Consider the following 15,858-nt stretch of genomic DNA (forward strand, 5'->3'; position numbering starts at 1 on the left):
GGACATCTGTATGGGAAGGATGTGCAGAGAGACGTTCACCTTCTGAATCCCTGCTGTATGTCGGGAACACTGCAGTCGCTATTAGGGAACCAGCGATGAATAAATCGTGTTTTTCATACAAATTTTCTGCCTTGAGAGAGATTTCTCAGTAAATTTTCTTCACGAAAGAAATGGTTTTTGCTACAGACAAAACAAGAGAAGAGAAGGACACACTCCCAGTCTCGCTGGAGCCCATAGACAATGGCAATTGGCTCAGTAGATTTTGGGGATTTCCATACTCACCACTATCCCAAGAGTGCTGGTGAAGGCAGTTGTGCTGTTCAAGGAAATTTCTAGAAGTTGGGGACATGGCAGGGGCACAGCACAACTGCCTTCCCCAGCACTCTTTGGACAGTGGCGAGTATAGAAACCTCCAGATTCAACCCCAGAAGTTGGGGACATGGCAGGGGCAAGGAAAGAGGCCCAGGGGACGCTGCCACTGGGTTGCGCTGATGGTTTCCAAACCTGCCAGGCACAACTGCCACAAGGACTCCTATGTGGAGCTATGAAGCTCTGCAGTGGGGTGGGTCTACTGAGTGCTCTCACACTCATTGCGGGGGGGACCCTGCATGTCATTCTGTCCTTTCCAAAATATTGCCCTTGCTCAGACACCCAAACTGGAAGATCTGTATGTCTTGCCCAGTATGACACTGGGTCGTTCTTTGGTCTGAGAAATCCGGGATAGAAAAATCCATCATCCCAGTCTCTCCAATGCCATCCCATAAAGACATTTCTGGAGTGGTCTAGCCCATCCGATGAGGATTGATCATTTAGTTAGCTACAGGCAAAGAGACTCTTGCAACTTTGCTGCTCAGTGAATTCACCCCTAAGTTTTGATGTGGTGCATCCATTTTCAATTTCAGTTTCCTTTTGACTGTTCTTCATCTCTTGCTTGTGGGTCAGCTTTGCATGTCCAGAAGGAGTGCTTGAGTTAGTGTTTCCTGCAGGTGCTAACCATGGATTATTTGCTACTGTGGATTTGAGGGAGCATCTCACGGTGTGGTGTACGCGGCTCTGGGTTTTACCCAAGACCACATTTCTGTCCCGTTCTCTGCTTGATGCCCAACCTAGAAAACCATGCTGGGTACATAATGAAACTCAGTAAGCATTGGTGGAATGAATATTACTCCTTAGACGTCACCCTGCAGTTTGGCTTTTGGCAGTTGTCTGTGAAGTGCTCACATTGCTTGGTGGGCACTTTTTTGAGGATGAGCATCTCCGTGCTGCTCACTCTCCTCCCCTAGAGGGCCTGGGCTGGGCTGGATGTAGTGGTCTCTAGGTGTCAGGAGCCATGTGAGAGTGAAGAGGGATGTTGGGGACCTTCTGCCGATGGAGGTTGCTTCTGTCCTTGATCATTGGAGCTCAGGTTCTCGTGGAGATGCCTGGCTCAGAGAGGGACACAGAAGCTCCCCGTGCAGGCTGGAGGCCAATACTCATCTGAGAGCTTGTGCACGGACCCCCGACCTGCAGCTGTCCAGCACTGTTGGGAAGGCGGTTCTAGTTGAGTGAGAGTGCCTACCTGATGAGCTGGCCACCCATTCTCTGGATTTCTTAAGCTCTTGTCTTCTTTCTGGATGAATGATGGCAAGACTAGCTCCCCGGTGAAACATCTGCATGTATCAGTTGAACCAGTTACTTAAAACTTCATAGAGCTCAGGGTTTTCTTCCAGAAATTGGGCTTAAATAGCAGCATATCCATTCCTGTCAGGATAACTGTGAAGATTTCATGAAACACTGACCACGATTCCCAATTATCCTCAGATCCATCGTTCTGGCCATCATTCCCAATTATCCTCAGACCCTTTTGCTGCCTTTTCCAGTAGTAAACGACATTTCTATGCTCTCTCACTGACTGGTTTTCAGCCAGGACCAGCCAATGGAAGCTTCTGGAAGGACATAAGCAGGGCTATTCCTCCATCCCCACCCTCCTGCTCTTCTCTGCTGGCATCTCCTACAGTATTGGCTTCTCTCCAGGTCCAGACCTGCCCTGCCCAGTGGCTGGTGGGGACAGCATCACCTTCTCCTTGCCTTTGTCCCTCTGGCACCAGGGGTGCTGGGGGCTCCAAGCAGTCCCCTCTCTGGCTCCTTGACTTTCTGGCACCTCTAAGACTAGATTCCTGTGTAGAATGGGGCTCAGTTTTCCTGATGGAATCTGGACTGCGTAGAGCTATTATTATTATTATTATTATTGTTATTAAGATTTTTACTTCATCAATTTTAAATTCTAAATTCATTTTCCCAACTTCAACATGGACTTGTGAGTAAAATTCAAGGAAAGAAATTGAGTTTCCAGAAAATACTAACCCTACATCAAAGCAACAAGATGGCTTGGTGTGTGTGGACATTGCTATCCTCATTCTCAGGTGCCGGGAGCATCATGACCACCCATGTTTCCCAACACAGGCCAGGGTGCTTCTAACTCCTGGGAGGATTGGGCAGGCCGGCCTCTGGAGGCTTCTTCTTGACCTGCTCCACACCCTGGTGCTCCCTTTTGGCTCCCAGAACACACTCAGCAGGGATCAGCCACCCACACCCCTGCAGAGGCAGCTCAGCCAGCCGTAATACCAAAGAGGTTGAAGCAAACATACATCTAAACCCCCCATCTTAGGGAAAGGGGCCTGAGCCTAGAACTGTGCTTTCCTTAAGCATTTCTTAGACAACTCCCCACATAGGTACCATTTTTCCCGGGCTTTCCTGGGCATTTCTCAGCATTCCTGGGCATTTCTCAGCACAGTGCTCTGCTCTCACCATGAAAGCTATCAGTTTTGAGTTGTAGCGGCTTTCTGGAGGCTGGCCAGCAAAGGATGGCTCTGCATGTCCAGTGTCTGAACTTAGATCCCTGGCAGACTCAGACTCTGCAGCAGCAGCATACCCATGCAGGAGGGCAAGGCAGCCCACACACGACGATTATGCTCCCTCGATACAGGGATGGGGATCGTGGGGAGAGGATCCCACATATTAGCATGAACTGCAAGATCTAAGATTTGACCAATCTTTAGATTAAAAGGCAAGTGTTAAAACGTGGTTGAAGGGTGACTCTCCCACCCTGAAGGCCCCAGGAGGGAAGAATATATACTGTCGTGGTGAATTTGGGCTTATTGCAGCAATAGGAAGCTGACAACAAGAACTCAGGGGACTTCTGGGGACCTATTGGTTGTGCTTTTTAATTTCAGAGAATAATAACTAAGAAGGCATCCCAATAATTACAGCCCAGGTGTGCAAGGCCCACTGTTTGTGCTCAGTAACGCAACTCCATTTCCCATCTGTGTAACAGAGGTGCTGAAACTGTGAAAGATCTGTCATTCTGGTTCCAGACCTGGCCAGGAGACTGCATCATCTCCAAATATTAGTGATTTGCTTAAAACTAAGAAGGAAAACCAAGCCACCTGTCTCCTACCTTCTTAGGCAGCATTTTCACCTTTCACCCTTCATGGGGCTGCTTTGTCTTCATGGGTTCTAATTTCAAGATGAATGATTGAGAGAGTCAGGCCCAGGCTTTCTAAAGCTGTTTGGATTTTCTAGGGAATCTTCGGATTTACCTTATCACTGATAGCTCCCTTGAGTTACTACATTCTTACATCAACTCTGCAAATTTGGGTCAGAGAACATCTTATTTAATGAATAGGAGTGTCCACACAAGAATCAGAGAAATGCTCAACCCTAAGAGCTGCACTCAGACACTGCAGGGCTCTTTATGAATGTTTGTTAACTTGGTTATTGTATTAGTCTGTTTTCATGCTGCTAATAAAAACATACCCAAGACTGGGTAATTAATGAAGGAAAAAGGGTTAATTGACTTACAGTTCAGCATAGCTGGGGAGGTCTCAGGAAACTTACAATCATGGCAGAAGGAGAAGCAACACATCCTTCTTCACATGGCAGCAGTAAGGAGAAGAGTGAGAACCAAGCAAAGGGGGAAGCCCCTTATAAAACCATGAGATCTTGTGAGAACTCACTCACTATCATGAGAACAGCATGGTGCTGATTGAATCGGCCCCACGATTCAATCACCTCCCACTGGGTCCCTCTCACCACACGTGGGGATTATGGAAACTACAATTCAAGGTGAGATTTGGGTGGGGACACAGACAAATCATATGAGTTATCATTTTGCCAGATAATTTCTTCTCATCTAATTCAACCAAAATAATGGAGCTGAAGAGTCTAGAGTGACAAAGAAAAGAACTGAGACTGGCAGGAAGCACGCAGTATTATTGAGGCTGGGCACTGAGGTTGGGCACTCCACTTCTGACTCTGGGTTTTGGTCCCAAAGCTTCAGAGTACAAGGCCACCAAGACTCATTTTAAGGACAGGACATTACTGTGGGAGGGGCTTTTTATTGTTCCACCTATTACAAGCCCTCACACCCCACCAGAGTGTGGGGGGGGCCTGTCTGGACTTAAGAATGGGCAAGGACCCACTATGTCATGAAATGAACACTTGGACCAAAATTCCCAAGGCCACACTGCTCCCTGGCCCCAAGTGGGGGGATGGAGACCACAGGAAAGCATGCAGTTGGCTTTACTATGGTGCAAAAGGAATGTTCTCATTGCCAGGTACCTTAGTGCAGGACCATGAGGGACCCCCTGAGCCACGGGAATCTCTTTTTCTCATCCCATCCTCCTGAAGTCATCCACCAAGATGGGTCAGGCCAGCAGGTGTCACCTGCATTTACAGGGCTGTGCCCACTGTGTGACCAGCAGCCTGTTGGATAATGCAGTCCCCAACTTGGAGGCTGCCATCCAAATGTGTCCTTCTCATAATGCCTGGAGGGTCCACTCCTGCTCATCATTTCCTCACAGAGGTAAGGAAGGGGGACCCCCACGGCCTCCCACAGGGTGGAGAACCAGGGCCTCCTTCTGTCCGCTTGGTAGTCATTTCCCTGCGCAGCCAGGCTTTCAGCTTTCTGCATGTAATTATTTCCAAAATGAGGCTTAAAACCCTTTCTGTTTTTCTTGTCCAATGTTAGTGATTTATTAACAGATGTGGCTGTGGTCCCGACCTCGGAGGAGTTTTTTATCTGCCAGTTGTAAATACAAGGTATGCAAATACAGCCGCCATTCAGGCTGTATCCACAATCCAACTGAAGTGGTCCCATCATAAATTAAACACGTGTTTGTGTTCACAAGTGCCAGCCTTCATGGGGCCATGTATACCCTAATCACAACCATTGAACACTCTCTTACAGGTGCCTAGTAGTGGCAGGCGTGTAGCAGCCAATTGGCAGAGTGTGGGGTGTGCTGTCCTCCCCTCAGAACTCCCCAGGCAAGGGACACATCCTTTCCATGACAGGCTTGGGCAGAAATAGCAGCTTGTATGTCTGATTTGTAGAAATAAACAAGTTGTCTTGTTTGTCTCCCCACTCCCACCACCGCTGCCTGATGTTGGTGACAGGAAGAGGCATAGAATCTTAATGGTGAACAATAATTTTTACCTTGATACTAAATGGGTTTGACCTGGCCTGGCCACCTCTTTGAAACAGGTCTGTGGAGCAGCAGGCACGTTGGAAAGTTTATACTTTGGGGATCTGGTCGACAAGCTAGAAGCCGTGAAAGGGCAAGTTACTAAAATAGATAGTGATGGCTTTGGACTGCAGCACAGACATGGTGTCAATTAAGGCAGCTTGGGCTCTGTGTCTGTTGGAGGAGGTGTTGTGTGTGGCTTAGGGGGTTGAGAAATTTGCCCTTTGGACTTGTTTCACCTTTCCTGTCACCAGAGGAGTTGGATTGACATTGTGCCACATCAAGCACTGTTTCCACTCTGGGATAATTACTTGAAATTTCTGGGCAATTGGGAGCTTGGAGTGTGTGCACACCTGCACACTTCTGATCAAGGCATGAGCCTCTAAAGGCAAGCCTGGGTCTGGGGTCCTAAATGATCTCTAAATGTGTTCCATCTCCATGTGTCTGTTGAGTGGGACCTAATACTGCCCTGCAAAGTGGAGTTAGGATCTGAAGCCCCCCTTGGCAGAGGCAAAACCTGCCTAACTTGAGGGAGCCTGTCAAGGAGGGTGAGGGTCCCGGGGAGGACTTTGTAGGCATGGACTCACTTAAACGCGAGGAATGGGAAGGAAAGAGTGAAACCGATAGTCAGAATGGGCCGGATACTTTGCTTGGAAAATATTCTTCAAATGAAGTTCTTTCATGCAAGCTCTAGAAAACGTAGGCTCTTAAATTTGCATTTGTAAGGAGGGAAAGCAAATTTGCAGCTTAGAAGGGAGATAAACTGGACAATGTGCTGTGCATATACTCAAAGGGTATAAAATAAAAAAATATTTGAAAGGCTATGTGGGACGCTGTAAAAATATTAGTCTGAAATGATCATGGGATTAAAAGCAACTTAGAAAGGCCGGGCGCAGTGGCTCATGCCTGTAATCCTAGCACTTTGGGAGGCCGAGGCGGGTGGATCACCAAGTCAGGAGATCGATACCATCCTGGCCAACATGGTAAAACCCTGTGTCTACTAAAAATACAAAAATTAGCTGGCATGGTGGCGCGCGCCTGTAGTTCCAGCTACTTGGAGGCCGAGGCAAGAGAATAGCTTGAACCTGGGAGGTTGCAGTGAACTGAGATCATGCCACTGCACTCCCGCCTGGGCAACAGGGTGAGACTCTGTCTCAAAAGAACAGGGATTCTGTCTCAAAAGAACAAAACAAAACGAAAACAACAACAAGAACAATTAAAAAAAACAACTTAGAGAAAGGCCACTTATGAAAACATTAAGTAGACATCGTTAAATTTGGAGAAAGGAGAAGGGGTAGAGGTGAGAAAGAGTGTGCTCAGTCCAAGATCATGTATTTTCCCCTAACTGTGTGCAGGCTTGTGGCTGAACATGGGCGTCATGCTTAGTCCTCTGAGGGCTGGGGTCCTAGAACTCTTCATTTCCTGGAAGCATAAGTGTGTGAGGGGAGGCTGCTGAGAAGTGAGGAAGTAGTGCTGGGGACGCCCTGCTGGTGCTGGCCGGGAGCATGGAATGTCCACAGGTCAGTTGGGACCCACATCGGGAGTTCCAGTGTCCAAAGCACCTGCCTTAGGCGTCCCTTTGCCCCGCTGTGGAGCCTGGGAGAGACAGAGAGAGAGAGAGAGAGAGAGACAAGGAGAGAGAGAGAGAGAGAGAGAGAGAGAGAGAGAGAAGCTCTGTGCAGTTAATTCCTCTGGTTCTGTGAAGGGTTCCCCTTATTTCAAGAGCATTTGGTTGTGATTTATATTCTATTTCCAATAAGAAGTTTCCCAGCTGAGATCCAACACAGGAAACGGAAGCAAGCATCTTTACAAGTCCCCTTCTATGAAGGAATGGGTTTGCCCCACGGCTGCCTCACTTGATGTTTCTGCGATTCCTTTAGAGTCTCCCAGAAAGGGGGAGAGAAGCCCAGAACCTCGCAGGAGCCCCTATCCCTCATTTTCAAACACTATTTGAAAATCAACTCAAGATGAGGGTTAGGGATTAAATGGAAAGTACCGTATATGATCTAGGAGTGAAGACGGCCTTTCCATGAGACAGTGAAGGCAGGAGACCTTAAAAACACGGCTGGCAGACCTGAGTAAATGAAAGCCCCCAGAGAGCACAGCGTCCCAATGCCAGAAAGAGACTCCAAGCAAAGGAGAACCTGGGGGAACATGAGCTACCTCCGTGACAACAGATGTTTTTAAAAATTAACAAATTATTCAGAAAAATATAAATGTCTTCATAGAAAAATGGGCAGTGAACAAGTAATACAGAAAATAAAAACCACAAATGGCCAGTGAAAACTAAAAAATATTTCACTTATAATGGAATAAGTCATATTAAACAAGATTTTTCACCTTTAAAATGAGTAAAAGTGTGTGTGTGTGTGTGTGTGTGTGTATGAAAGTTCAGGGAAATTGTTAGTCTCAAAGAGCTGGTGTGAATGTGAATTAATACAGCACTTCTGTGGGATGATTTTGGCAATACGTTCCAAACACCTTAAAAATGGATGCACACTTGACCGTGTAATTCCACGTGTAATAATTTAGTCAAAGAATTCACTGCAGGGTCTGCATGAGCATTTCCCATGAATGTGCACACAGGTGTTTGCTGCAATGCTTGCATTGCAAGCTACCTATTTGTTGGAAAATACATTGGAAATACATTTCCAAATACATTGGAAACTACCTATTTGTTGAAAAACACAGGGTTAGTGACATAAACTACAGTGTGCTCATGTTAAACACAAATGTCCTACTGCCCCAGATTAGTGATTCTTAATCTGTGCCCATAAAAGCTTCTGGGTTGCCCTGGGGAGTCCCTTCAAGGGCCACAGGAGACCAACTTTGGGGATATTACTCTGATTTGATTTTATTGACATGAAAGGCTTAATTTGAACAAAACTTTTCCTCACTTTAGTAAGGTTTAAGTCCACAATTGTAGAGAGATGTTTAATCACGTGGACAGTTGCCTGAGATATGGTTGTTTTAAAGACTGTTTATAAGATAGTGCCCAATGTACAACTCTGTGGTCCCGAAGCACCGATCCTACAGCCCACAGCTTCCACCCCTCCCGATGGCACCCTCCACTGGGATGATGTCCTCTCCCTGCAGACCTGCCCTCCTCTGCCCCCTGAGACCCCCAGCCCATGATCTGAGCATGCCTCCCCAGCACTGCTGCTAGAAGCTGCACAGTGTGGGGCTCATGCCTGGGGCTCAAGGCTGGATCCTGGCTTCACCTGCTGTTGTGCAAGCTCCTCTGTGCCTCAGTGTCCTCATCAGCAAGTGAGGGTGCTGACAGCTCCTCCTTCCTCAGGTAACTGGGGATTAAATGAGTGTATACATACTCAAATAATGCCGTAGATACTTAAACATAGATACCCTCCTCCCTTGGTACACATGGAGGATTTGTTTCCCCACAGATACCAAAATCCATAGATGCTCAAGTCTCTTATATAAAATGGTGTAGTATTTGCATGTAACCTACACACATCCTCCCCAAAACTTTAAACCATCTCTAGATTACCTGTAATAGCTAATAGGCTGTAGATGTTATGTAAATAACTGTTATATCGTATCATTTAGGCAATAATGACAAGAAAGAAAAGCCTGTACTTGTTCAGTGCAAAAGCAAAGCATCTACTTTTTCCTGAATATTTTTTATCTCAGGTTGACTGTTGAATCCACATATGGGGAACCCACGTATACAGAGGGCTGACCCTGCATGTGTGTGTGTGTGTGTGTGTGTGTGTATTTGAGTGTGCATGTGTGTGTGTTTGTGTGTGTATTGTTCTTTATAGATTCATATATTTATATATATTCACTTCATGCTATATGCCAATATATACATGTATTTATTATATAATTCTGATTATAGACATATTTTATATCCTCATTTAATCATATACATATCTAATCATGGCTATTTTTGCACCACATGTAAATATACTTATTTGTGTGTGCGTTTGTGTGATGAGTGCATTGTGCTAGCAGTATATATCTCAGGAAGAATTTCATAGGGATCTTGTAATACACACTCATTCAATCCTATGCTCTGCTTTGGTGCTCGGCACACAGCAAGCACTCTATGTAGGTGAGCAGTTACTACTATTGTCCTTTAACATTTGATTCCAGATCCTGGGCTGCCTCTGCCCAACCCCCGCTGCACTTTTCCCAACCCCTATTGCACTTTCTCCCCCTCCGCCCCAAAATTGAAGGCAGCATCTCACCTGGTTCCCAGAACATGGCACCTGCTGCCTCTCTCAGGCCTTTCTTTTTACCACTCTCCCTTTTTGCTGGCTCTGCTCCAGGCATTCTGGCTTCAACTTATCCTCAGACAATGCCCTGTGTTCCACTTCCGACCCTTTGCACGAGCTGTTCCTGCTGACACATGCTTGCCACCTCAACTCTGCCGGTGGTGCCATAACAGAGACACCCTCCCCAGGCCCTAGATCTAGGAGCACCTCCTTCATCTCTCTTGACTCCTTTTCTGCAAAGCCCCTGGAACAGATCACCATGTGACTGCTTGCCAATTTACTGTCAAGTTCCCAGCCTGAGCTGTAAGTTCCATGAGGCCCAATGTGGCTGCTTTGCAGTATTCTTGCAGTGTGAACTGTGCTCCCACAGAGTGAACGGTGCTGCCATACGGTGAATGGTGCTCCCACAGGGTGAACAGTGCTCTCACAGGGTGAAGAGTGTTCCCACAGTGTGAATAGTGCTCTCGCAGGGTAAACAATCCTTCCCTGGTGTAAACCGTGCTCCCACAGGGTGAACAGTGCTCCCAAAGGGTGAAGAGTGCTTCCCTGGGGTGAACAGTGCTCCCACAGAGTGAACAGTGCTGCCATAGGGTGAATGATGCTCCCACAGGGTGAGCAGTGCTCCCACATGGTGAAGAGTGTTCTCACAGTGTGAATAGTGCTCTCACAGAGTAAACAGTCCCTCCTTGGGGTGAACAGTGCTCCCACAGGGTGAACAGTGCTCCCACAGGGTGAACAGTCCTCCCACAGGGTGAACAGTGCTGCCATAGAGTGAATGGTGCTCTCACAGGGTGAATAGTGCTCCTACAGGGTGAACAGTCCTTCCCTGGGGTGAACAGTACTCCTGCAGGGTGAAGAGTGTTCCCACAGTGTGAATAGTGCTCTTGCAGGGTAAACAATCCTTCCCTGGGGTAAACAGTGTTCCCATAGGGTGAAGAGTGTTCCCACAGTGTGACTAGTGCTCTCGCAGGGTAAACAATCCTTCCCTGGGGTAAACCGTGCTCCCACAGGGTGAATAGTGCTCCCAAAGGGTGAACAGTCCTTCCCTGGGGTGAACAGTGCTCCTGCAGGGTGAACAGTGCTGCCATAGGGTGAATGATTCTCCTACAGGGTGAGCAGTGCTCCCATAGGGTGAAGAATGTTCCCACAGTGTGAATAGTGCTCTCACAGAGTAAACAGTCCTTCCCTGGGGTGAACAGTGATCCCACAGGGTAAACAGTCTTTCCCTGGGGTGAACAGTGCTCCTGCAGGGTGAACGATACTCCCACATGTAAAGTGTGTCCCCACAAGCACGGCCTCATGAAGTATTTGAGGAGTGAGTGCAATGTGCTAACAGAAGGATTTTAGAAGTTCTTTTATTTAGCTTTTATGTATTGTACTTATTTTCAAAAATGTACATGAAACAAATGAGAGTTACTTTTTAAAATCGGTTGAAGAATGGAGACAACCTGAGAGCCAGTGGGTGGGAGGGTGATCTGAACACTGTCTTTTAAGTTTCAGACCCAGTTATCTTCAAAGTCTACCTTACTGCAGATGGCCTGCAAAATGTGTCTCATTCTGAAGCTTCCCACCCCATCAGATAGATAATTTATTGCAGATAAACATTTTTTTTGATATGTATTTAAATAACCAGATCTTCTCTTCTCTTCTACAAGTGGACACTAGCTTGAAAATAGAGATAACTGAGAAATAAAGATGGGGGAAATACACTTACCCTGTTTTTGTATTGTCTAGTTGTCTGTACCATGGGACTTTGTACAGATCTGAGAACAACATGAGTAGAGGACAGGGCAGAGCAGTGGGAAGATAGCATCCGGAGCTAGGAATGTTTCAGAAGACATCAGAAATTCTTGGCGAGACCTACCACATAATTTGCTGGTCTCCTGTTAAAAAATTATGAAGATTTTCAAGAGGACTACAGGAGAGCATGAAACCATGCTTCTGGCTTTCGAAGGTGGGAACCTGTGCAACAGCTCAGGTCGGGCATTTGTGAAGCCGGTCCTGAGTCCTGGGGAATAGAAGTCAAAGGGCATTGACCGCCCCCGCCGCAGCTGACAGTGGAGAGGCTATCTAAGGATGTGGCATGTTGGGGAATTCAGAGTGGGCCTGGGAAAGAAACTACCACTGACATTTGGATCAAATCCATTCTTCATATTGACTTGTGGAAAGGGACACAGCTGAATGCCGGGTGATAGAGAAACACAACATCCTCATGCCGGTGACAAGAAGAAGGTTGGGCTGGTCAGGGCAGGAACAGCTCGTTAGGGCAAGGGCCACAGCTCCTCCGTGTATGTGAGCCCGTGGCCTCTGCCATGTCCACTCAGGGGAAAGGGTGGAGGCAGAACAAGGTGTTGCATGCACAGAACAATCCAAACAGGAAGAATGCAAGAAAGGAAAGGAATGTTCTGGAATAATGGAGGGGTGCTACAGACACATCAGCCAGTAGTGCCCAGGCCAAGTCAGACAGAAAAAAATTTAAGTCCAAGAAAATCGTGTGGTGAAACCCTGTGAAGTGGACATTCCCTTGAACCCTTTTAGCAATCCTGAAGGTGTTCTCCATTTCTGAGGAGTTTGGGTATACCATTTTTTGACTCTCCCTCTCTGTGACTCTCCCATTTTCATCTGTTCTTTTTAATTACTGTGTTCTGGCCTCTCCTGGTTTAATTGCTCAGTGTCTGTCATGTGGCGGGCATCTCATTAACAGGACGCCTTCTTCGGTTCTTACTTAGCAAAAGATGATCCATGACCCGCGCTCAGTGTGCGGCTTTGCAGAGCTGGCTTCTGTTCCAGATGACTTGCTGAGTTAGCAGGGCTGGCTGGTCTGCTGAACAGTCCTCCTGGTGTTCCATATGCACGGGGATGCTAATTAGTGAGGAGGACCCTCCGCAAGTTCACGCCGAGAGACCATCAAAGTTTCAGAGCTTCTCTCCAAAGGGCTGGATCTGTCCACAGCCTCTGTCTTCCATTTCTTCTTTTCCTGTGCCTTATTGAGATATCGTTTTTTTTTTCTTCTCATTTTGTTCCCCTATCCATTCACCTCCTCAGCACACAGTGGCCAAGTCTTCCATCTGTCACCAAGTCATCCCTCACTCCCCGGACACGGAGTGTCTACGTAAGATGCCCATGCCAATGCTGGGTCCCAAGGCGCTGCTGGAGAGGGGGCAGTGGCTGTTATTGAGGTTGTTGTGTGGTTTACGTCTTCGTGAGGCCGATGGAATCTGCCTACAGGAGCCTCAGAAACATGTACATATTCTTCTGTTTTTGACTTTTTTTTTTTTTTTTTGAGACGGAGTCTCGCTCTGTAGCCCAGGCTGGAGTGCAATGGCGCGATCTCGGCTCACTGCAAGCTCCGCCTCCCGGGTTCACGCCATTCTCCTGCCTCAGCCTCCCGAGTAGCTGGGACTACAGGCGCCCGCCACCACGCCCTGCTAATTTTTTTTGTATTTTTAGTAGAGACGGGGTTTCACCGTGTTAGCCAGGATGGTCTTGATCTCCTGACCTCGTGATCCGCCCGCCTCGGTCTCCCAAAGTGCTGGGATTACAGGCACGAACCATCGTGCCAGGCCTTGTTTTTGACTTTTAAAAAGGAGTCTGACCACAATGAGACACCACTTCAGATCCATTAGAATGGCTCCTAGCAAAAAAACAAAATCACAAGTGTTGGTGAGAACGCGGAAGCATTAGAACCCTTGTGCACTGTTGGTGGGAATGTCAAACAGTGCATCACTATGGAAAATTAAAACCAGAATTACCATATGATTCAGCCATTTCACTTGTGGGTATATACGCAAAAGAAGTGGAAGCAGGAACTTGCACAGGTACTCACACCCCCATGTTTATAGCAGCATTATTCACGATTACCAAAAGGTAGAAGCAACCCGAGTGTCCATCAGTGGATGAATGGATAAATAAAATATAGTGTATCCATGGAATGGAATGGGATTCAGCCTTAAAAAGGAAGGAAATGCCAACACATGCTACAACCTGCATGAACCTTAAAGACCTTATACTCAGTAAAATAAGCCAGTCACAAAAGCACAAATACTGTGTACTTGCACCTGAATCAAGTTCCTAGAGGAGTCAGATTTATAGAGAAAGGAAGTGGAATGGTGGTTGTCAGGGGCCGGGGACGGGAGGAATGGACAGTTTGGGTTTCATGGGGCCAGAGTTTCTGTGAATGGTGGTTGTCAGGGGTCAGGGGTGGGAGGAATGGACGGTTTGGGTTTCACGGGGACAGAGTTTCTGTGAATGATGGTTGTCAGGGGTTGGGGGCGGGAGGAATGGACAGTGTGTGTTTTATGGGGCCAAAGTTTCTGTTTTAAAAGATGAAAATGTTTTGGAGACGGATGGTGGTGTTGGCTGCACAGCACTGAGCGTGTACTTCATGCCACTGCTGCACACCTAGAAATGGTAAGATTGTAAATTTTATGTTACATGTGTTTTATCACAGTTTTAAAAACGAAGCCCAAATCCCTGGAGGAAATCTTGAGAAATATTTTACATGAATAGAAATTAGAAGGAACTCAAGGGTGGCAGGCAGGCACCGCCTCCTGATGAAAATTTGTCTCCTACATCAGTGCCTTCCACATAAATTAATGAAACCTCCCAGACAGTCTGTTGGTGACTGAGAGGGAACCAAGGGGATCTCAGGGAGGGTCATGGGATGTCTGAGTTTGTCAGGATAAAGCATCCCTTGCCCAGGAACATGCAGGCGCTGGCTGGCAGCCCGGCTTCTGCTTCGCCAGGAGTCCGGGCATCGCGGAGATTCATCTTCGTCCTGGCACCCACCATGCGGTGCCCAGCCAGCCCTGCACTTGGTCGGCCCTGCTCGAGAATCCAACCTGGTTCCATTTTCAATTTTGGAAGCGTTGTTGCGGATTAAAAACCGGTCAAATGATGGGAAAGAGTCAGAGAGAACAGCTGCTCTGTCCCCGCCATCCTGCCAAGGCCTAAATGAGCCTCCAGGAAGCTTCAGAGAGATGAGGGATGCATTTCCCAGCAGGAGTGATGCATGGCCCAGGAATGGCAAGTCACGTCGGGGGCTTGTGGCACCCTGGGGAGGACCTGTCAGTGCAGCGCCAACTGGCTGCCAGTGCCCATGCACACACGATGGAAACTTGATCGGTCAAGTTTCTGATGAAACTTTAAGGACAGTAACAATAGGGACATATGACAACCTTGGCTGTTCCTAATCACGTGGTTAATCTATTTAGCTCTTCGTAAAACGATGCACAAGGACGGGATACACGAAGCAACCAGTCATTTGCTGTCACCTGAGTGTTGGTACATTTTCTCCACCTCCTTTTTGCCTGTCTTTTACCTGTAAACTTCATCTTCATTTGAATAGCTTAAAGAGCACTGAACACTTTGGTATATAAGTCAAAGACGGAACTTCAAGATTGTCTTCTCCCGACCCATGTTGAGGGAGCTGTCAATCAATAGGTTGGGTGGATAACAAAAAATGAATTATTGTTTCTTGTCTGGCACAGGCTCAGCCTCAGCACCAAAGCCCAGGTGCCCCTCGGACACCTCAACTTCAGCTGCAGCTTCCTCCTGAGGAGTTGGGGTAGGGCACCCTTCCCAAGCACCCTCCAAAGACCTTCTGTAAAACCCTCAATTTCAAGGCTGTGCAGAGCCAGATGTGGGTCTCTTTTGATGGGGTAACCATTTGCCCAGGCAGGTCTTCAGGCAGGAGAAAGCAAGCCCACCTCTGTCTCTGAGGCCACTGGATCTAAAGGATCCGTCAGTGTTGGCTTCTCTCCAAGCGAGACTTCTTTCTGCTGGAGCAGAACAGTGCAGTGGAGGTGGGAGGCAGGAGGATGCCCCAGGAAAGAGGCGAGACACGAGACATGAAGGGTGGGAGGGGGAGGCTGAGTCAGGGGCTGCTAGTGGCTGTCACCATCAACAGCAAATAACTTTGGATATGGAGGTCTAGGTAGAATTTTCATTGTTGTTTGACCTTATTTACTATTAAAATGATATTAAAGCATAATTTAGACAATAGTTTTTTCTTTGTTTTTTTTACACAAAGATGTTTATTTTTGGTGTTCCCATTCACTTTTTATTCATATCTGCTCAGAGTAGCATGCTTTCTCATTTAACATGAGAAAATAATAAAA

At 47.2% G+C, this 15,858-nt stretch overlaps 1 annotated feature.

Annotated features, from left to right (window-relative positions):
- Nucleotides 14,112-14,613: an enhancer, noted in NCBI's record as "H3K4me1 hESC enhancer chr10:130184885-130185386 (GRCh37/hg19 assembly coordinates)". NCBI's record gives its function as "activates a minimal SCP1, AML or CMV promoter by ChIP-STARR-seq in primed H9 embryonic stem cells {active_cell/tissue: H9 hESC(primed)}" and the evidence as "EXISTENCE:reporter gene assay evidence [ECO:0000049][PMID:30033119]".

Source organism: Homo sapiens, chromosome 10, assembly GCF_000001405.40.
Source record: "Homo sapiens chromosome 10, GRCh38.p14 Primary Assembly".
In the NCBI taxonomy this organism is placed as follows: domain Eukaryota; kingdom Metazoa; phylum Chordata; class Mammalia; order Primates; family Hominidae; genus Homo; species Homo sapiens.